At 38.2% G+C, this 20,907-nt stretch overlaps 1 protein-coding gene and 1 pseudogene across 11 annotated transcripts in view; one reads left to right on the top strand and one right to left on the bottom strand.

The window, feature by feature from the left end:
* The window catches only part of FAT3 (FAT atypical cadherin 3), a 671,656-nt gene that overhangs the window by 150,695 nt on the left and 500,054 nt on the right, over positions 1 to 20,907 (bottom strand). The gene's annotated exons all lie outside the window — the stretch shown is intronic.
* On the top strand, positions 16,364 to 16,449 carry LOC124902841 (uncharacterized; annotated as a pseudogene).

The following is a 20,907-nucleotide window of genomic DNA, read 5'->3' as shown; positions in this document are numbered from 1 at the left end:
ACAATGAAGGTATCTTTTCTTCCCTGTGTTTAAACCCAACAACTGCTAAATGGCAGCTTTTTCAGAAAGATCCTTGACCAATTCACTTTGGCAGCAGCTGCTGATATTACAGCTTTGTCCAAATCTTTTCTTTGCACTTTAGGAAATAAAGTATTTCCCATCCTGACATCTCTTAAAGCTTTTTTTTTTTTTTTTTCCCTGCAGAGAGGTATGCATCAGCTACTAATCTCATCACATTTCCATTTCCTTCCAGGCTCATCTGCTCATCATTTTCTATTCATAAAACTTGCTTGATTCTAATCTTCCCTATCAGCAGGAACTAAACACCTCCTCAAAGTTTCTTTAGTACAATGGTGACTACCACCCATGTGCTCACTCCCCCTTTCAAACAGATGAGTCCAATCTATGTGCTCACATGTGGGCCGTTAAGAAACTTCTGCCATGAACCAAGATGTGACATCATATTAGCCGCAGATCTAAATCCCTCTGCACTAGTTCACAACTCCCCTGACATCAAGGCCTTAGTCGATATACTATTCCACATTCCCCTCTCCATGAAACAGAATCCACCAGATATAAATTACAACAGAAAGTATATATTGGTAGCTTCCCTTCTATTTCATAGTGCTGGACTTCATGCTTTAAGTTACTTTTGTCTTGGCAGATTCTCATGCTTTAGCTCCACTGATGATGTTATTTGGATTTAAGCACTAACTCTTCCACCAAGCACCAGATTTTTGGCTTTTCTTTCCACAGTAAAGGCTTAATGCAAAAATAAGGACACGGCTCTAATTACTAGCTGAGCAAACACTGCTTTCTCCTCTCAGCAATTCAACAGGGATTTCTGGGCGATTTAGCAGGTAATTTAACACCTTGCCTACCTAAATATATGAATTTTAAATAGATCAATTTACAGAAATTAGGCTTATGTGTATGTATAAAATAGACTAAGGTAGAGATCATGAACTGGTGGCCCAGAAATATGCTTTCTTTTTTTTGGCCCATACAGTGTATTGTAAAAATTTCTGCCAATATTTAAAATGAGAGAGATTTCATATAAAAATTCAAATTCCCAGATTCTCCTAAAAATTAAAAAAAACTGGCCCACCAGTCTCTACTGTGTCCCTAATACTACAGCAATGTCAGTTATCATTCATCATCACGGTTGTGCAGAAGATTTTCTTAGAATAGAAAAGTACTTCTCACTACTCATGTTCCTATAAAAAAATGGTTATAAAATATAAATGGGGAACACTGCATGTTTAGACAAATGAAGAGAGTATATTTCTTATTGTAAATGAAAAACATTTAATATGTAAATGGTCTGCTACATATATCACCCATTTATTATGTTTGATGGGTTCTGTGGGCATTTGAGTTTGTAACCCTTGGTTTGAGGTCTTGATAACAATCTCTCTGCAATGACAGTATGTACACTTTAATGCGTGGTAAAGATAAAACTGTAACTCTTGGAAGAGAACATTCAGAGCAGCAGAGGTGCACATTCATCATTCCTTCTCTAGGTATTATGATTTCAGATAGTATAGTTTTAGAAGAATCAAAAGAAATTAGAATAAGAAATTAAATCATCTTTATCCATATCATAGTTTAGAACAGAAATATGAGTCATCTTAGACAATTCCTTGTTCCTCCCAACATCTCATCAGTCATTGACTAGGGACATAGCTGGCTGTGAATTATATACTGGCAGTCTCTCAGTCGCTTTCTATTGCTTACAACATAATACCTGAACCTGGGCATTTTATAAAGAAAGGAAACTCGCTTCTTACAGTTATAGAGGCTGAGAAGTCCAAGGTTGAGGGATGCATCTGGTAGGAGCCTTCTTCCTGGTGGGACTCTGGAGAGTTGTGAGGTGGTGCAGGGCATCATCACATAGGAAGGGGGCTGTATGTACTAACTTGCTAGCTCAGGTCTCTCTTCCTCTTACAAAGCCCCCAGTTCCCCTGTTATGATAACCCATTAATCTATTAACCCAATAAATCCATTCATAGCAGAGCCCTCATGATCCAATCATTTCTTCAAGGCCTCGTCATCCAATACTGCCACATTGGGGATTAAACTTCAACATGAGTTTTGAAGGAAGCAAATATTCAAACCATAGCAAGCTGTCCTCCTTAGGACACATGCGGCCCTCTGCCTGGATGCACAGCTTGGCAACAGTGAATGTGGGCTGGATTCAGTGCCCTGGGGCCCATTTGGCCAGGTGTCCCTGCATAGGGCACAAGCTATACAATATAACAATGTCCCTAAAGTGCTACTTCTTAAATGTCAGTTATATTTCTTGGTCCCTTCTCTACCCTTGGTGTCAAGCTCTCATTATCTCCTGCCTAAACCATTGCATCTCTCTTCAACTTTGTCTCCCTGACTCCAATATTGCCTCACCCAATGCCATTCTCTAGAAGACTGAAATTCCAAGCATGTCAATCTCCTGCTGAAAGGTCTTTACTGGCTCCTTATTGCTTACAGCAGATTTCATAAATGGTGTCATGGAGAACACCAAGGCCACAAGGTGCTCCCCTTAAAAGAGGGGCCAGGATCCTAGAAGTTTGAAGAATATTATAAACCCCTCTTGGAGCTTTACAATGTACATGATTGGAGTAAAGACCAAGGGAGTCTAAGCAAAAGAAACTGCTTAACCATTTAAACCAGTGTTTCCGAAACATATTTGATGGCAGAATTCTGAGGGCTGTAGGTCTGATATTTCAAGGAACATACTTTAAGAAGTGCTTAATTACTGGATTAAGTGCATACTCTTCAGTATTAACATACAAGATCCTGTAGTATTGACACCATCTATCCACTGTGCTATTCTTAGCCTCCAGTGTCTAACACCGCTACACCTACAGTTTTAATCACACAATCAGATCACTTAATTCAACATAAATTTACAGTGCCTCCAATGTGCAGTGTTTTAGACACTGGGTGTCTTAGTCTGATTTGTGTTGCTATAACAGAATATCTGAGACTGGGAAATGGATAAACAATAGAAGTTTATTTGGCTCACAGTTCTGGAGCCTGGGAAGTCCAACATCAAGGTGCCATCATGTGGCCAGGATCTTCTTGCTGCATCATTCCATGGTGGAAGGTGGAAGGACAAAAGCAAGAGAGGAAGAAGGCATAGCTTATCCTTTTTATCCAGAACCCACTCCTGAGATAAGAGCTTCAATCCATCCACGAAGGCACAGCCCTCTAACCTAATCACCTCTTGTAGGTTCTACCTCCGACATGGTTGCATTGGGGATTGTTTCCAACACATAAACTTTGGCGGACACATCCAAACCACAGCACTAGGTAAACAGTGGTAAAGCAATATGGGCTTCTTTCCTTCAGGGAATTCACAGTCCATTTGTTCTTCCAACATGGAGAATATACTTCCAAGGCCCTTGCTGCTTTGATTGGGGTTCCCACTGCATGGTATCCCCCTTACTCCCTACTCCTGTAGTTCTTATAAAATCCTCTAAGGCCTGCTGTACTGTTTGTCCCTTTATGATGCCTTCTCAGAGACCACATTCAGATAGAATGACTCCTTTGTATGTTTCACTTGACTTTGTTCAGATGCTAACACGTCCCCAATTCCATATCTAATTGTTGCATATCTGTCTTCTTTCACACCCCTGCATTCAGTTAGCTTGTAAGCTCTCTGAGGGATAAGACAATGCCATATCATCCATTGTACTGGCAGCATCCAGCACATGTCCTGACACATAACGGATGCCGAGCTAATATCAGTTCCTTTTGGTTTTCATAAGAGGCATCAGGAACAAGGCCTTGCATTGGTGAAGAAATTATTCTGTTTTGTTTTCCTACTTCTAATAGCATGCTATTTTAATTTTGAGTTGGATCTTTGATTGTTAATAAATTAGGTAGATATCCTGTTGGTTGGAAACAAACATTATTCATTATCCTATTAACAGAGCTATTAAAAACCCTGTGTACTCTTGTACTCAACACACAACAGGTAGTATTTTTTCTTTACACATAATAAAATTCAAGTCCCTGGGGAAATGGGTCTCAGGATACAGCTACTAAAACAGAAAGATGGTTCATCTTGGATAAAGTATTTTAATTACTTCCACAAGACGAAAGGGAGTACATGTAAATTTTAAATAAAGATCAACTCCGTAGACTTAAATAGGTTCAAACAGATAAATTCAAGGTGACTACTGTCATTAATAACTAATATTTAGGAAGTATTTTTCATGTATGTATATTCAGCACATTTATTATACATAGATTTATAGTCACCAGTTCTTGCTTTCCAGGAGAATGTGAGACACACATGTTTAGTCCCAGGTCTAAATGAAGTTCCTCTTCTGTGTTCCTTCAGAATTTATGCTCATTTCCATCAAATCACTTATGCACCTGTATTATAACCACTTTGTCTGTCTCTTCCAAAAGTATGTATATGGCCAGGTGTGGTAGTTCATGCCTATGTGGTAGTTCAACACCAGCAATTTGTGAGGTGGTGGTGGGAGGATTGCCTGAACCCAGGAGTTCAAGATCAGCTCGGGGAACATGGTGAGACTTTGTCTCCACGAAAATTAAAAAATTAACCGGATGTGGTGGTGTGCACCTTTGGTCCCAGTTACTGGGGAGGCTAAGGTGGAAGGATTGCTTGAGCACAAAAAGTGCAGGCTGCAGTGAGCTATGATATGTGCCACTGCACTCCAGCCTGGGTGACAGAGTGAGACTCTGTCTCAAAAAAATATATATATATCTTTCTGAGTTCTCTGAGGGCAGACGTTGTGTCTTTCATTTTTCTATTCCTGGTGCCTAGGGCAGGATAAGTAAAGGAAATGTATGGAAGAGGTAAATTGCCAAAGACAGAAAAACTCAGACATGAAAAATATTGGCAGAGAAATAACTCAATGTATCCAGAAAATGAAACCAATCACAAATATAAAATATAAAACTGACCAATCAAATGAAAAGTCTGGAAATGTTACTACTGTAGTAAAGAGTGTTTAAATAAAATCACATGAGTGTTCTAATATCTCTTTCATTATAAATTCTTGAAAATTTGAAATGCTTTTTAAGTACTTACATGATTTTAAAAATCCTCTTTCCCTGAGATAAGGGGAAAAAGCAATTATCTTTTGACCATGAAATCACATGGATTCAGAAATCCAATAATTTAAGAGAATGAATAATACTCTCCTAAAAGAATTTTTTTTAAAGCCTAAAACTTCCACTCCACTCCCAGTTAACATTCATCTGCTTAAGTTCCATTTAAAGACTCCAATGATTCTTCACTTTTACTTTTCAACAGGGGAGGCAGACAGCTAAGGAAGAATGTTCTAGTCATTCCGCCTCAGGCAGCCCCTATCATGAAGTCTAAGTAATGTGAAAACAGTGGCTGGTGAACTTTCTGCGGATGTCAAAAGCCAAACAGATTAAATGTGTTAAATAATGAAAGATAAAGGAGAGTCACACTGCCTCTGGAGTCAATTAAAAATGTGTAACTCAGTTGTGTATCTGTAAATTCTAGAAATAGTCTTTTTGCCCAGCCAAAAACATTGAAAAGGCATTTCAAAAGAAAGACTTCCAATAAGTACTCAGTTGTTTTGCTGAGTGAAAGTAGAATACAAGTAGTTTTTACAGATGATGATTTACAATCTTGGACATTACTCTCAGAGTGTTATTATCATGATCAAAGTTAACTCCCTACTAGAAGCTAAATTAATTCAGGCCGGAGTCATACTCGTGCTTAATGGATATATTCTCACTGCTCATTTAGTGAAGCAGGGCATGACATTGCCCAGATAGTTGTACTTTCTCCCAGAACGTTCTCAGAAGATCAGGCCCACAAGTACCTATGTGTGAAAGGTCCTGAGATTTCTGGTGGACAGAACTGGAGAAAAGTGAGCAATGAATAATGAATGTCTCTTCATAAGAGCTTTATTTAGTGGGGAGCCAAAGCTGTTTCTATTTTATGGCAAAAGCATTTTGGGAGAAATATTCCCAAACCATGTTTCAGAGTATGTGACAGGCAGCAGAGATTGCCAAGCATGTAGAGAGTTTAACACCACAGTGCACACTCACGGAAGGTTATTTGCTCCAACTGTCCTGAAAAATCTCATTCTATGCTTAAACATGTAACTTTGTGAATAAGCATCTTTCTTTTCCTTCTGGCTTTGTGAAAAGAGTATGTCAGGGATTCTAATATCCAGCCAAACTAGGAAGAAATAATTCACCAAAATATGTAGAGAATGTTCTGCGAAGTCTTGTCATATAACAGTAAGAGGAATCAGTTTATGAAACTTCCAAACTGATTAGAATTTTGCTACATTAAAAATTCCATCAGAAAGCTTACAATAAAAATGATACTTGAATAGGCTTTAAGGCAATAGGAATGTCTATTGATCATAAAGAGTTATCTGTTTGCATGCTTCAGTGGATAGGACCATTACCATAACATGCAGGCTCACAGTCTTCCCTGGAAATCTCCAGAAATTACAAAAAACAAAAAGATTGCATGAGGTATCAGGTCATTGCATCACCAGCAGCTGAAGGCTACTTGGCAAAGATGTATGGCTGTTGTCCAAGTTCTGGTCCCTTTGGTTTTGAAATCAGATAATCAGAGTCCTAAGACATATCACTGCAATCCAGGAAAGGCTTAGGGTGAGATCCATCTGTCCTTTTATGTAGCTTTGCCTTAGACAGACTTAGGATCCCTAGGTTGGCCCAAGTCTCAGTGCTCTATCTTGGTGCTTTTGAGTTTGTGGGTCAGCTGCCAGGGTAATTTATTATTGAAAGCTATAGTGTGACAGGGACTCATCATGTTCTGAGTCTTCAGTAGCAACAATAATATTGAGGCCCCTTCATTCATACTACTTCCAAGCACTTTAATATCTGTGAACACATTTGATTTTCCCAACGACTTGACTAGGAAAGTTGGTGAAGAAATATTAACCCCACTTGATAATGGATGAAGAATCCAGCAAGATCCAATGCTTTGCCCAGAGTCACTCAGCTTATAGGTGACAGCATAGCCATACAAGACTCAGCATGTTGTGAAATCCAGGTGGATAACACAAAAAAATGTACATACTTTTCCAGGAAAAATTAACTAAACATATTTGTTGCATAAATGGGGAAGTAGCATGTCTTCATCAAAGAATCGTATTGTTTATATCAGAGTACTTTGAATTCACTATTCCTGATCTGTACTATGTATTATGTGTTCAGTAATTACTCCTTGAGGACCTGCAATGTAAAAGCACTGTGGGAGAGAGATGATGATGAACAAAAACATGGTCCTTGCGCCACAGGAGCTTCCCATCTGGAGGAGATGACAGCCATGATTACAAATCACAAAGGGATGCGGAAGCGAGACAAAGCTCTGTATGTAGGCTGTGTGCAAAAGTAGTCAGGCTAAAAATTCCCAGTGGGATCATCAATGTTTTGGTACCATTTTAAATGTTACTCTAGTATCTTGGGGAACCTGGTGTTTTAAATAAATGCCCTTTACTTTTGGGGAATTAAATGTCCCTGCAGTAAAAATCTATATTATTGAGTTCTCTTCTCATAAGGTGATTACGGAATTCTTCCTCATAAAATGGGATGTTTAAAATCTATCTGGAGTGATGATGTATTTGTATTATTTCAGAGGGCTTCCTAGAGGATTCCTCAATGTCCTGCTTAACCTTAAGACCTTTAATTCTCATGAAATGCTATAGAAGAAAAGATCACAGGTTTTACACAACCTTTTGAAATGTAAGAAGTAAAGGTTTATAGGAAAGTTTATTTGCCCCAATTCTCCCTACCACTCTGATGCCCTGTCTCAATGAGAACAATGAAAAATCGGTAGCTGTATTTGTTTCTGGTATCTTTTTTGAAGCAATCAGGGGGCAGATTCTGTGAGGCCTGATTCCAAGGATGGCAGGGAGGAGGAATGAGGTTTCTTGATAACACTGTTACACAATTGAACAATTCTTGACACTGTATGGCTCCTGGGATCCATTATGTGAGTAATACATTTTCTGAACTAAAACAAAGTTCGTTCTTCCCAAATTACAGTAATTAATTCCACTGAATTAAAAAAAAATCTAACTGAAATACATGGAAAATTCTGACTGCTTATTTTTAGTAATTCTATGTAAAAATTAAACAAGGTTGATTCTTATCTAATGACTATGTCATCAATTTTTATAATCCTCATGACTTTATTGTGTGTTTCTTTATGAATAAACATTCCTCTCTCTCTCTCTCACACACACAGACACACACACACACACGTACACAGTGATGTATATATACACACACCATTTGACTGTGGTTTAGGAAGATGCTTTGGGTGAGGTTTTTAATCTGTCTTTGAATTGCTGTAAATAGGGATTAGGATCCAATTACTTCATCTGACACCACCACTTTATAATAGAAGAAAATTCTCTTTGCTATTCCTTAGATTTTAAGTACCATGGCTACCCACAGAGTCCCTGATCATAAGGAAAGGACCTCAGATGAATGGAAATCAGAGACAAAAATCAAGGGCTGGTATATCCTCCGTCACACAGTGTAATCAGCAGACTAGGCAGATTACTTGAAATTTCAATTTCTTTCCCCTCTGCTGAGAGTACACTTCATCTTCTGCTTTTCCAAACATTTTGAATTGTGACTGAGGATTCTGTGAGATATTACTGTTTCAGTCTTCTGAAAGTTGCAATTAAATACATTCTAAATAGATGTCACCTTGCCACCTTTTTGGAAAGGTATAAGAGAAAAAAAATTAGCCATCACAGGAAAATAATTCATAGTTAAGGCTCTTTCTTCTCCCTTAACCACGTTCCGTTGTGTCTTCATGGCAACAAATGTCTGTAATCAGACTCTGGTTCCAGCTTTCTAAAGACATCAGTGAGATGGGCAGGAGTGGGAGGATCATATCTCTTTTTACAGACATAAAAGGAAAAAAATAAAAGACCACCCTAGAAGTGACTGAATTTGTACCTGAGAGATCTTTTAAATAAATGAATCAAATTCTCACTTTATTGCCCAGATACTAGGAATCTTTCCTTTTCAAAAGAGTATAGGTGTTGCTATATTTATGACTTTCTTCCTAAAAATGAAATTTCTACAGTATCAGTAGCTAAATGAAGCCTGAGAACTTTCTGGAGAAATTGAAAGGACAATGCTAATGGCCTGGGGTTCACAGAGAAGGTATAGATCCCTTACAACTAATTTATTTTCCTAGCAGTCTTGTGTGGGTCTGATCAGACACCTCAAGGGTCAATTGCCATTACTTCTTTTTCGTTACTTAACAATTCTGTCCCCAAATGCCATTCTTCTACTCAATTTCACTCTTTTGCAGTGTAATTGGGTCCTACTGAATCAATGGGAATCATCTTCATGATTACCTGAACATGGTTCGTGGTCTGAGGTGAGGAATTATGGCTTGCTCTGAACAGGTGCACATTTGGGCTTGGTGAGCATCTTGGAAGGCTGGGGTCAGGAATGTCATTATCCTTATCATTTCCCAAAACTGGTAGGCTGTGGCTTACCTGAACTTGAACCCTCTGCTGGCGACTCTCAAATGGCAGCTCCAGATATAAAATGTCTGGGTCAGCACAACAGTTTGGTTGCCAAGAATGAGACTTCTCTATGATCTGAAAGAGTAACTCAGCTCCCAACTAGGAACTGTGCAGAAGCTCAAGAAGGATCAGACAGTGCCTTCAAAGAGCCATCTTCACAACAGTAGAGAGTAAGAGAAAAACATTGCTTCTGGATCAGACAGGTTTGCCATAAGAATGCTGGTTTTTCCACTGCTTCTGAGCTGTACAACCTTGAGCAAATATAAATTATGTCTCAATATCCATATTTGTTACATGGGAATAGCAATATCTACCTCACAGAGATGTTACTAGAATTAAATGAAATAACATGTTAATTATTCAACAAACATATATAGAGAACCCATTACTTTCAGATACTAGGTTAAGCACTAGAGGTTAAGCACTGGATATACAAACATAAATAACCCTCCACCTATGTCTTCTAAAGGCTGAATCTAGTATGTAATAGTCCAACACAGTGTTTTACGTTTAGCCAATATAGGTTTTAAACGCAGGTTTATGGTTTTACTAAATCATTGTAAATTAATTTTTCTTTAAAATTGTTAACATGTTCATGCAAATAGAGCACTAACTGCTGTCATTAATTTCTATCTATCTATCTATCTATCTATCTATCTATCTATCTATCTATGCTCATCCATCCATCCTTCTAGTCATTCACTTGTGAATAGTTTGTGTCCATCAGCTTAACACATTTACAGCTGGAATGAACAAATAATTTAGTATTCAGTAGACCTCTGGAATGACTAAAGATTTGAGAGCAAAAGCTATATAAGTAATGATTTTTATGACACTAGCCTCATGGAATGGTCTTAATGCAAATGACATTGTCCAAAGACAGTGAGAGCCTCTTCCAGGAAAGACCCTTATGTGAACTGCCATGATTATTCTCTGAAAACTCCAATTCAGAATTGCAATCATGAAAATGGCTATGATTAGCCCCCTAGTGACCTGAGAGTGTTAATGCTACTTCCCAAAGTGTCAAGCAAACAATCAAGAAGAGCATTGGTGCTGGAAAAATCAGGCTTGTCATTCAGCACAGGTGGTTTCAGATATGCATGCCCTAAGTCAGACATGACATGCTCAAACTTTACCGGGAGTTCCTGCAGGGAGGTGTTCTAGAATCCTCTTTGCCTGTTTATTATCACATTTAATTAGCCACCAAGTTCTATTAATTCTACCACCTAGAACTATCTAAAATCTATCCTCTCTTCTCCATCCCCTACCTTAGTTCAGATCCCCATTCATTCTTATCTAGACCTGGTCTATAGCCTCCTGACTGGTCTCCTTTTATCCGATCTTCCTCTATCCACAAGCCATGCTCCTTTTTGCAGGCTCAGGGATCATTTTGTAAAGCAAATATGATAATTTGTTTACCAATATTTTCAGTATGCTCTCCCAACAAACATACACGCTGTGCCTACTCTTCCTGTCTGTCTGGTTTTGTTACACACACCTTGTTCCTTCTCTCTGGAATATATACATTGTTCCTTTTTCTCCCTGACTACCTGGCAAATGTCTACTTTTCTTTTTCTTCATTTTTGAGTACTTATAGTGTTCCAAGCAAATAAGAGCATTGCTTTTTTAAAACAAATTAATTGACTTTATTTTCTAGTGCATTATTATTATGATAACCAACCGACATTATCTCATTTAACTTCCAGAGTAAATGTTACTTAGACTTTAGCGTTCAGTTAACATGCCATTATACTGCGATTTTAAAAAATCCTACTGCCCTGGACAAGGTCAGCCTCTGCTTCTTCTAGTGCTTAACAGCCTTTGGAACAGACATCTATGTAATCCCTTCTCTACACATCTTGTGCTTGTTTGCTGGACTTGGAACAAAAAGAACTTGCTGTATCCTTAGTGTCTAAGCCAGTGCTGGATACACATTAGGTTCTCAAACATGTGGTATCGCACTGACACAGGTGACATAAACTGAACCACAGCTTGCTTCTCTCTCCCTTCCAGAGACAATCCTTTTTCCAGAAGAAGCAGGTAGACCTCCATACTCAGGGTTTGGTTATTAAGAATTCTTACCACAATTAAACCAGTAATGTACTCCTCTGAATTAAAACATCAGATACTCAGAGAGGACTTTGGAGGCTGGAAAACTTCCTATAACTTCCAAAGGTGCCAATTTATCATAACAGAGTTATTGGGGAACCAGAGCTTCCTGGCATATTAGGTAGTAGCACATATTAAACAGATGCTTTGCAGCAAAGGAAAGTGTACTTAAAAGCACTGCTCTGTTAATTGAATATCAGACTAAAGCTCCTAATTAATATTAGAAAACCTTTCAAAAATGGAAATAAAGAATATCAAGAAGTATTTATATACCCCTAAACAATCATCTCTATTGTGAGGATTCCCAAATCTGTACCTACAGCTTCAGTTTCCTGCACAAGATTTCATCCCATATATCTAAGGTCTCAATAGGAAGTTTCACTTTTTTGCCCCCCTTGCATCTAAAACATAACGTGCCAAACTCAACTCATATCTTCTCTCTCAAGTCACATCGGCCTTTCAACCTAGGGACCACCATGCTTTCATTTACTTAAGCTTATAGAGCTGTGGGCTCTACCCTCTCTGTCTCATACTGATGATGCTTCTCAGAAGACTGCTGTCCAACTCTGCATGTATGCTTCGATTGCTCTACCCTAGACCTGGACCCTATAATTTGATAACTAAGTCACAATCTCATATCTGGTATTCAAGCCTCAAGTCTTTTCCTCATCTAGGACATTGTACACATGGTGCTAAAACAATCAATCATTTTGTAGACAAGAGACCACCAAGACACCAAATTCTATCACAGTCTTGCCTCATATTACCTATTCAAATTGATTTCCTAAACTTTCATGTACAAGGCTTCAGCTAGTAACATCAGAATGTGCCCAGTTCACTTGAGTCTTCCCCCAAACCTTCCAGAATGTAGACTTGTTTTACTCATGTATTAAGTGGTTACTGAGCCTGTTTCTTCCAGAGTGGCTCCCAGTTGGATCCACACTGTCTAACAAGGCATACGTAGCCTTCTGACATCCAGCCTTGTGCCTCAGTCTTTGCTACCCTTGTGTAACCACTGCCCCTGTCTCCCCTACTCCACATCTTCCCTCCTCTCTAGGCTCCAGTCAGCTACCTGCCCCTCAGCAAGCCTGCTGTTCTTACTTCTGGAACATCCTGTGCGGTGAAGTTTTTTCCTGGGTCTAACTTCCAGTGTTTTTTAACATCAAACTCAGTGGTTATCCCACAGGGAAGTGGTCCTTTATCACCTTTCCACCGTCCAAGTGAAGCACACCTGCTCTGTGATGTCTCCCAAAGCACTTATCAAACTGTCCCTTGGAAGACAGGTGGAGGGTCATTTGTTTTTGTATCCCCAGTGCTTAACCTCTAGTGCTTAACCTAGTATCTGGAAAGTAATGGGTTCTCTATAAATGTTTATTGAATAATTAACATGTTATTTCTTTTAATTCTAGTAAAATCTCTGTGAGGTAGATATTGCTATTCCCATGTAACAAATATGGACATTGAGACATAATTTAAATTTGCCCAAGGTTGTATAGCTCAGAAACAATGGAGAAACCAGGATTCTCATGGCAAACCCATCTGATCTAGAAGCAATGTTTTTCTCTGATTCTCTACTGTCAGATGATGGCTTGCTGTGAAGAGGTTTATCATTAATTTTTTCAAATATTAAACCATAAATGCATTGAGGGTATAAGCAATATCTTATTCATTTTTGTGTCCTTAGCCACAGAGCAGGCACTCAAAATATGCTTACAGGATTAATGAGTAGGTGAGTGAGTGAGTAGTGGATGAAAAAAATGCCTGTTCAAACCTCATCCCACTTCCAGGAGCATTGATTGTTATATCGCTTCTATAAGCTTTTCCTCTATGTCTCAAATTTTATTTTGATCTTTCTATAAATAGATTCTAATAGCATTCAGTCACTCTCTGTATTATAATTAAATTGTACATTGTCTTTACTCATCTTTGCTTCCTCACCCCTTAAACATTTCTGACAATGCTAACAGTACCTAGCGTAAGAAACAATTAGTAAATTGATGTGAGTAAATTAGTAAATTTAATGAATAAAAAAATATCCCCCAAGGGCAAAAATAAAACCAGTGGAAAAAGTAAAACAGAAGTTAGAATACAGAGTAAATCTGAAGAAGGTGACAGGAGACTATAGGCAATTGGAATTCATGATCTATAACTGAACATGAAACTCTGAACAATTAAAGTCATTCATTCAACAAACATTGATTAAGCAATTTTTATGTGTTGTCATTATGTTAGGTACTAGCATTATGACACAATATAATTTACTGAGGAGACTAAAGCACCTCCCTTAAATTATTAAAAAAGAAAAACCAAGCAAACAAACAAACTTTTGTGTTAGAGATATAAAGAGAGGATACAGACGAAGGCATAGCTAACTGTGCCCTTGGGGGGTCTTCTTACTGCCTTAAGGGCTTTTTTTTTTCCCAAGAGAATGAACCTAAGGCCTCACAGAAATCCTTCAGCCACCAGAGAGTAAGACACTATCATTATCCTAGACTTTAGATGATATGAAAGCCATTTGCTATGCATAGGTCACCAAGAAAAAGTAAGGGTGGAACCTGGATCAGCTGAATGATGCTGCCACTCCTTGTTTAAGTGCATGTTTTGTAAAGTCTGTATCTCTGTGGTATTCTGGGGGAGGTGAACATCTATAAGATGGAATTGAAAGATGGGTGGTGTTGATCTAGGTCCATATTTCTCAACAAGGGCAGTATTGAACATTTGGGGTCATATAATTTTGTTGTGGGGGCTGTCCTGTAGGATGGCTGGCACCATCCTTTTCCCTACTGACTAGGTACCTGCTCTCTGCTATTGTGACAACCAAAAACTGTCTCCAGGCATTTCTAAATGTCCCCTGGAGGTAAAACTGGCACCAATAATGAACAAATGATCTATTCAAGGCTTCAAAAATATTTACAGGTTTGAGAGTAACTGGAAAGCAAAACATCAATGAACTTCCTTACATACATCTACATATTCAATAGCAAAATGCTGAGCTTTAGGAGGAGGATAAAGGGTGTTGGACTGAAGGACATTCTAATAGCACCACAAATATTGTGAAACATTTTGCTTCAATAAATGCAAGTTGGTGGGTGAAGGGGTGGGTGATAGGGAAGACAACACAAAACCGAATTTGACTTAGCCCCCGATTTCATAATGAAGGGTCAGCTATCATGGAAAGAACCTGCTCTGCTCATTTTAAAGAAATTGCTTTAGTTCTTAGGCATAAGAAGACCTATGATAAAGGCAGGGGGATGAAAAAAAAATTTTAAAAACTACATGATTAAAAATAGTCTTTTTTGAGATTTGAATGGAATAGTCTCAAGACATAAATGGGCATTTTTCAGAAATTACAAGAAATAATGATTGATTGTGGAACTAAGCAGAATTTTGACACATGTTAAAAATACATTAATAAACAGGTTTGAAAACTTCTAGGAATCCCACATGGAGACTGGGGTTGGATGAGCAAAATTTTCTTCTAGCGCAAATTCAAAAGCAGGCAAACATACATTTTATAAGGAGTATCATTAACTTCACAGTAACTTAAATTCTGTATAAACCACTAGACTTGGAGTCAAGATAAAAAGGACTATGGTCCTGTTCCTTTCCTTGCTACATCAGCCTTGGATTGGATCCCTGTACAGCTCACGTCCTCACCTTCCAAATAGCCAAATAATGTCAAACCTCATGGAGCTGTAAATGTGATAATGTACATAAAACTAATTGCAAACTCTAAAGCTCAGAGTTTATATATCAAAATTTTGATATATTAATTTTTCTTTTTGAGACACGATCTCACTCTGTCTCTCAGACTGAAGTACAGTGGTGTGATCATGGCTCACTGCAGCCTTGAACTCCTGGGCTCAAGCGATCCTCCCTCATCAGCCTTCTGAGTAGCTAGGACTACAGGCATGAGCCACCATGACTGGCCAATTATTAAAGGTTTTTGTAGAGATGGGGGTCTCAGTATGTTGCCAAGGCTGGTCTCTAGGCCTCAAGTGATTCTCCCACCTCGGCCTCCCAAAATGCTGGGATTACACACATGATCTACCTGGCCCAAATACATTAATTTTAATCAATTTTTATATATGTTATGTATGTTTTATGTAGCAAAATTATGAAAACAGGAAAGTAAAATATTTTTAAAAAATCACTCATGATCCCATTACCCAGAGATAACCACTAGACTCTCATAGATTCTGAGCATAGAATTTACTAAGTAAATTTTAGAGTAGTCTTGTAGTCTCAAGAGTATTCAGATTAAATGAATGTTTAAAAATGTTTTTTTTAAATTAAATTTCAACGTAATTTTTTAAAGCAGTATGACCCCCTGATCCTTCCATTCACTAACTACCATTATCATGTTAGTGTTTTCTTTTTTAAAATTTCAGTCTGGGGGCCAGGTGCAGTGGCTCACGCCTATAATCCCAGCACTTTGGGAGGCCGAGGTGGGTGGATCACGAGGTCAGGAGATCGAGACCATCCTGGCCAACATGGTGAAACCCAGTCTCTACTAAAATACAAAAAATTAGCCAGGCACGGGGGCACGCTCCTGTAATCCCAGCTACTTGGGAGGCTGAGGCAGGAGAATTGCTTGAACCCGGGAGGCAGAGGGTGCAGTGAGCCGAGATCACGCCACTGCACTCCAGCCTGGGTGACAGAGCGAGACTCCATCTCAAAAAAAAAAAAAAAAAATTCAGTCTGGGGTCCATTTGCAGTTCATAAGTGTGATGACTGGGTTTTCCCACACGTGAGAGATGTGTCTCCCTCAAATCTTATTACCCATCTGATGTGAAAAAATAATAAAATTTCAGGCTGTTTTCCTGCATGTAGCCACACCAATAATAACAATGACATTTATCGAGTGCTCTGCGTTTGTCAGTCAGTTTGTTTGCAAGCACACAACTGAGAAAGCAGCGCTGGCACCTTGTCCTCTACCAGGATGATCAAGTGCACCAGTAGCAGAGTCGGGAAAAAACAACTTTATATCTGGAAAGAAACACATAGAACAAATCACCCTACCTTCAGGATAAGCAAAGACTTGGGCCCCTTTCTGTGAATTGTGATTCTCAACAGAAACAATGTAACCCCTGTGTAGTGAGTTGAATGATGAAACCAAATATATCAAATCCTAATCTCTAGAACCTGTAAATGTCAGCTAATTTGAAAAAGGGGTCTTTGCAAATGCGATTAAGTTAAGGATCTTGAGATGAGGAGATCATCCTGGATTAACCTGGTGGGCCATAGATGACATCACTAATGTCCTTGTAAAGGAGACACAGGCAGATGAGGTTACACTCGGAAGAGGAAGAAACAGAGATTAGAGGGATGTGGCCACAAGTCAGGGATGCTGCCAGCTACTTGAAGCTCCAAGAAGCAAGGAAGGATTCTTCCCCAGAACCTCCAGAGGGTGCCTGGCCCTGCTGACACCTTCATTTCAGGTGAGTGAAATTGACATTGATCTTCCTGAAATTGACGTTGAACTTCCAGCCTCTAAAACTCTGAGAGAATAAATTCTTGTTGTTTTAAGCCAACAAGCTTGTGGTAATTTGTTTTATAGCAGCCCCAGAAAACAAATATGCCGATTTTTAAAAAAACAAACAAAAAACCCCACCAAAACCTGGACTGTGTCTTTTATTCCAGCAGTCCAGTTCTGCTGAAGTCTAAACTTCTTTGTAAACACTGCAAGCAAAAACATTTTTGTCTCTTAGTGCTATTGACTGCTTTTTTAACACAGCTATTTACATATTGTTTAGATACATCTTAATCACAGGGCATACATAGTTTCCTCCCGTCTTTCATTTATCTTTTTTAAACAAAGGCACACTGCCTGTGGGGTAGCCCTGCTCCACAAGGACTAGTTAAACAAACAAACAAACAAAAAACAGAAAACAAATTCTAACTATTTAGAACTCCTCTTAATAATATGGACAACTCGTTTTCTGGTATTAGTTAAGGTAAAACATTGATGATTTCAGAAATAGCCTCCGAGAATCCTTAGATTTCTAATGAAGATGGTATTTGGGATGAGAAGCTCTAGACCACCAGAGCTATGTAAAACCACTCCCTGGGAGGTGTCAGAGACCCAGTTGTTCAGTACACTTGTGCAGAGGCACAGGAGTGCCACCACTGGCCAGCATGCTCTCTCAAAGCCCGGAGAACCCTGAGAAGAACAGCCAGCAACAAAGAAGTGTAAGAATAAAAATAAAAAGCAGCCAAGGAAAAGGATCTGGGGAGGCCAGCCTCAGTGGCGGCATGGCAAATGGCAACGGGGGTTGCAAGCTGCAGGCTGAGAGAAGACTGGAGCCTGCAGGTAAGCCGTGAGAGAGAAGCACATGGAAAGTGGAGCCTGTCACTTTAAAGACAAAGACCACTCTAAGGCATGTGAGGAAAACATAAAGGACCCTGCACAAGATGAACACTGGAGACATTAATGGATGCCAGTCACTGCTCCTTAGGCAGTGCGTGCTGCCCATGGTCTATGTCGGTTCTGCAAACCTACCACGCCACCCACACCTGACTGATGATGATGCTCAGCACTGGTCCTCCTGTCTGTTTCACCAGGCCAGACTGCATTTTCTATTATATAATTTTTAATTACAAATCAATTAAAAATAAAAGGTTATCTACCAGGTCTTCCTCTCAGACACTCTCATTTCATACCATGTTTTTTTTTAAGCATTATTAAAATTCTAGCTAAATAATTATTTATGTCACTTTTACTTAATGTCTGTCTTCCCTGACAGGCTGTATCTCCCATGAAGTCGGTGGCAATGTCTGTCTCAATCACCATGTATACTCAGTCTCCTAACTAGTGACTCTTGGCACTTGATATATTTCTAAAAATAAGTCTTTGATTATCCAGCTTGTTCTCTGAGGGCACCAGGTATCAGAAAGAAGCCAAATTGCTAAAAATCAATATGCTGAAATAAACAATATATAAAACGACCAGTTTGCCAGAAGCCAACTTGCCAAAAATCAATGTGCTAAATTTACCAAAACATTGTTTTCTTGTAGCTGTTTATGAAGTTAATCGAAATTCATAGTAGATTGAGTGGTTTTAAAAGCTTTTGAATATTTTAGGGAAGCTTTAGATGACAATTTTTTCATTTTGTCATAAGAGCAGTATTTTAGTAAATGTTCATTTTATTGAGATTTAAGAATCCTAGGGAGATGTGGACTTCTATTGAATAGATTTAACTGTAAGGTAAATGTGATAGTGTCCTGTTCTCTTATTTCCTTTCCATTGCTTATTTCCTTTCCATTGTTTTGGACAGTTTTTGCTTTTCATGTTGAATCTGTCAGCCCACTGCTACTGAGTTGACAAATCTCACTTAATACATGTCCCAGATACTAGATAATAACAAATTAGCTGACATAGGATGATTTTGGCCATTTCAGATTTCTTTAGCTGTTTTTAAGGTCACTTTCTATTATTTTTTAGTTTAACCATTCTTTAACAACCAGAGTGACTTAGCCACAATTTGGTGCTTCTGGCAACATGTTAAATTTTATCATGTCACGTGTGAAGGGGTCATTTCAAGCATCTGAGTATCTTTCCATCTTCTGAATGTCATTTAAAATATTTTGAATTTTAGGCATTTTATCATTCTTTTACTAACCATTCAAAGAGTATATCAGCTTAAAATTTGTATTTCTAAAACATCGTAACCACAATTTCACCAGTTCCCATTGTTATGGTTGTTCTGTGTCTTTTCTCAGCAAATTCATATTTTTGATGAATATATAGGATACTTGAAATTGCAACTGTTGACTATAAATATGCTTTTCTGAATATTAAACATATAATAAAACAATTAAACCACTTATATCCATAGTTTTTAAGAAGTTGATTATTCCTTGAAATGCTTCTATAAATATAGAAAAGGAAAACTCTGCAGTAGAACTTTCTAGAAATTGTCATAGCTATTAAACAATTCCATCTTATAGTTGATCTTTTATTAAAGTTTTTTAATTTTGTATGTTTTATTGGTATATAATTGATGTACATGTTTTCAGGGGACATGTCCTAATTTAATATACTTATATTATTTGTGAAGACCAAATCAGTGTCATTGAGATATCCATCACCTTAAATAATTATTTTTTCCTTAGTAAATTTGATGAAGTGACTTAGAAAGCAGCATTATTTGAGTAACTGATTAAACATGCTTTTAAATGATAAATTTTTAAAAACTAAAAAAAAATAAACTGTCTACTTGTAGAGGGATAATGGAGACATGGAAAGTCTCTCCAGTATGGCACCCTGACAAGGCTTTTGCAATTATTCCACTCTTGGCTCAATAGAAAAGGAGTCTCTATATAAAGAGGATTATAGCAGAGAAAGGGATGTCTAATTCAAAGGAAAATAGAAACACTCTTTATCAGCTGATGTTAGTATGCTTCTAAGAAGCTTGCCTAGGACTTTTATAAATCTCAACTGTATCTGAGGCAACAGCTTATAGAAAGCAAATGGTCATTTAAGGTGTCTTTTAAGATGCTAGACTTCTACATCCATAGAATTGGTTAAAAAAAAAACTTCCTAAGTAACAAGATCTTTTTTTCTTTTTTTTCTTCTATTAGGTAATTGAAAGTGGGTATTTAATTGACACCATCATGCTGGGAGCTGTGTTTATAGAAAGCGGATGCCTAGGGATAGGAAAAGTCAAGCTGAACACTACACTTTGATGAGGTAGTTGGGAGATGGATTTTTCTGTCTGAGACCCAAGCTTGAACCTGAAGATTTTCACAGTTGAACTGTCACAATTTTTAATGGCTGTGGGCAAAGGTCTTAGGTTCTGATGTGATTCATGTCAGATGTCAGTGGAGCTGGGAGTGTTTTCCCTGGCTGGCCCTCAGCATTCAGTCCCCCATATTTAAGAAGAGGCCCATTTCTTGGGAACAACTGGCAATGGGATAATGATCTCACAGTTTTAACAAGGTTGTGAGACTATATTGGGTGATTTCTCACTACCTGCTCCTGATTTTCCTTTTGGTAGGTAGCTTACCAGATACGTTGAATTTTATAAATTTCTTCTCTAACATTAGTCAATTGGATTTAGGGTTTTTTTTTCCATTCTTGTCTTGTGTGTTTCTCATTGTATTCAGGTGAATATTTTGGTTTGCTCCTCAACTTTTCTTATTGCTGTGAGAGAAGTTATAGCTGGCAAATGGCCAGAATTAAAATAGATATTATAATATAGTTGCTTCTTAATTACTCAATGTGAAGTAACCACGCCACTGTAATTTT

This window comes from Homo sapiens, chromosome 11, assembly GCF_000001405.40.
Source record: "Homo sapiens chromosome 11, GRCh38.p14 Primary Assembly".
Taxonomy (NCBI): domain Eukaryota; kingdom Metazoa; phylum Chordata; class Mammalia; order Primates; family Hominidae; genus Homo; species Homo sapiens.
The sequence above is the reverse complement of the archived record's forward strand: the minus strand, read 5'-3'. Positions and strand labels throughout refer to the sequence as shown.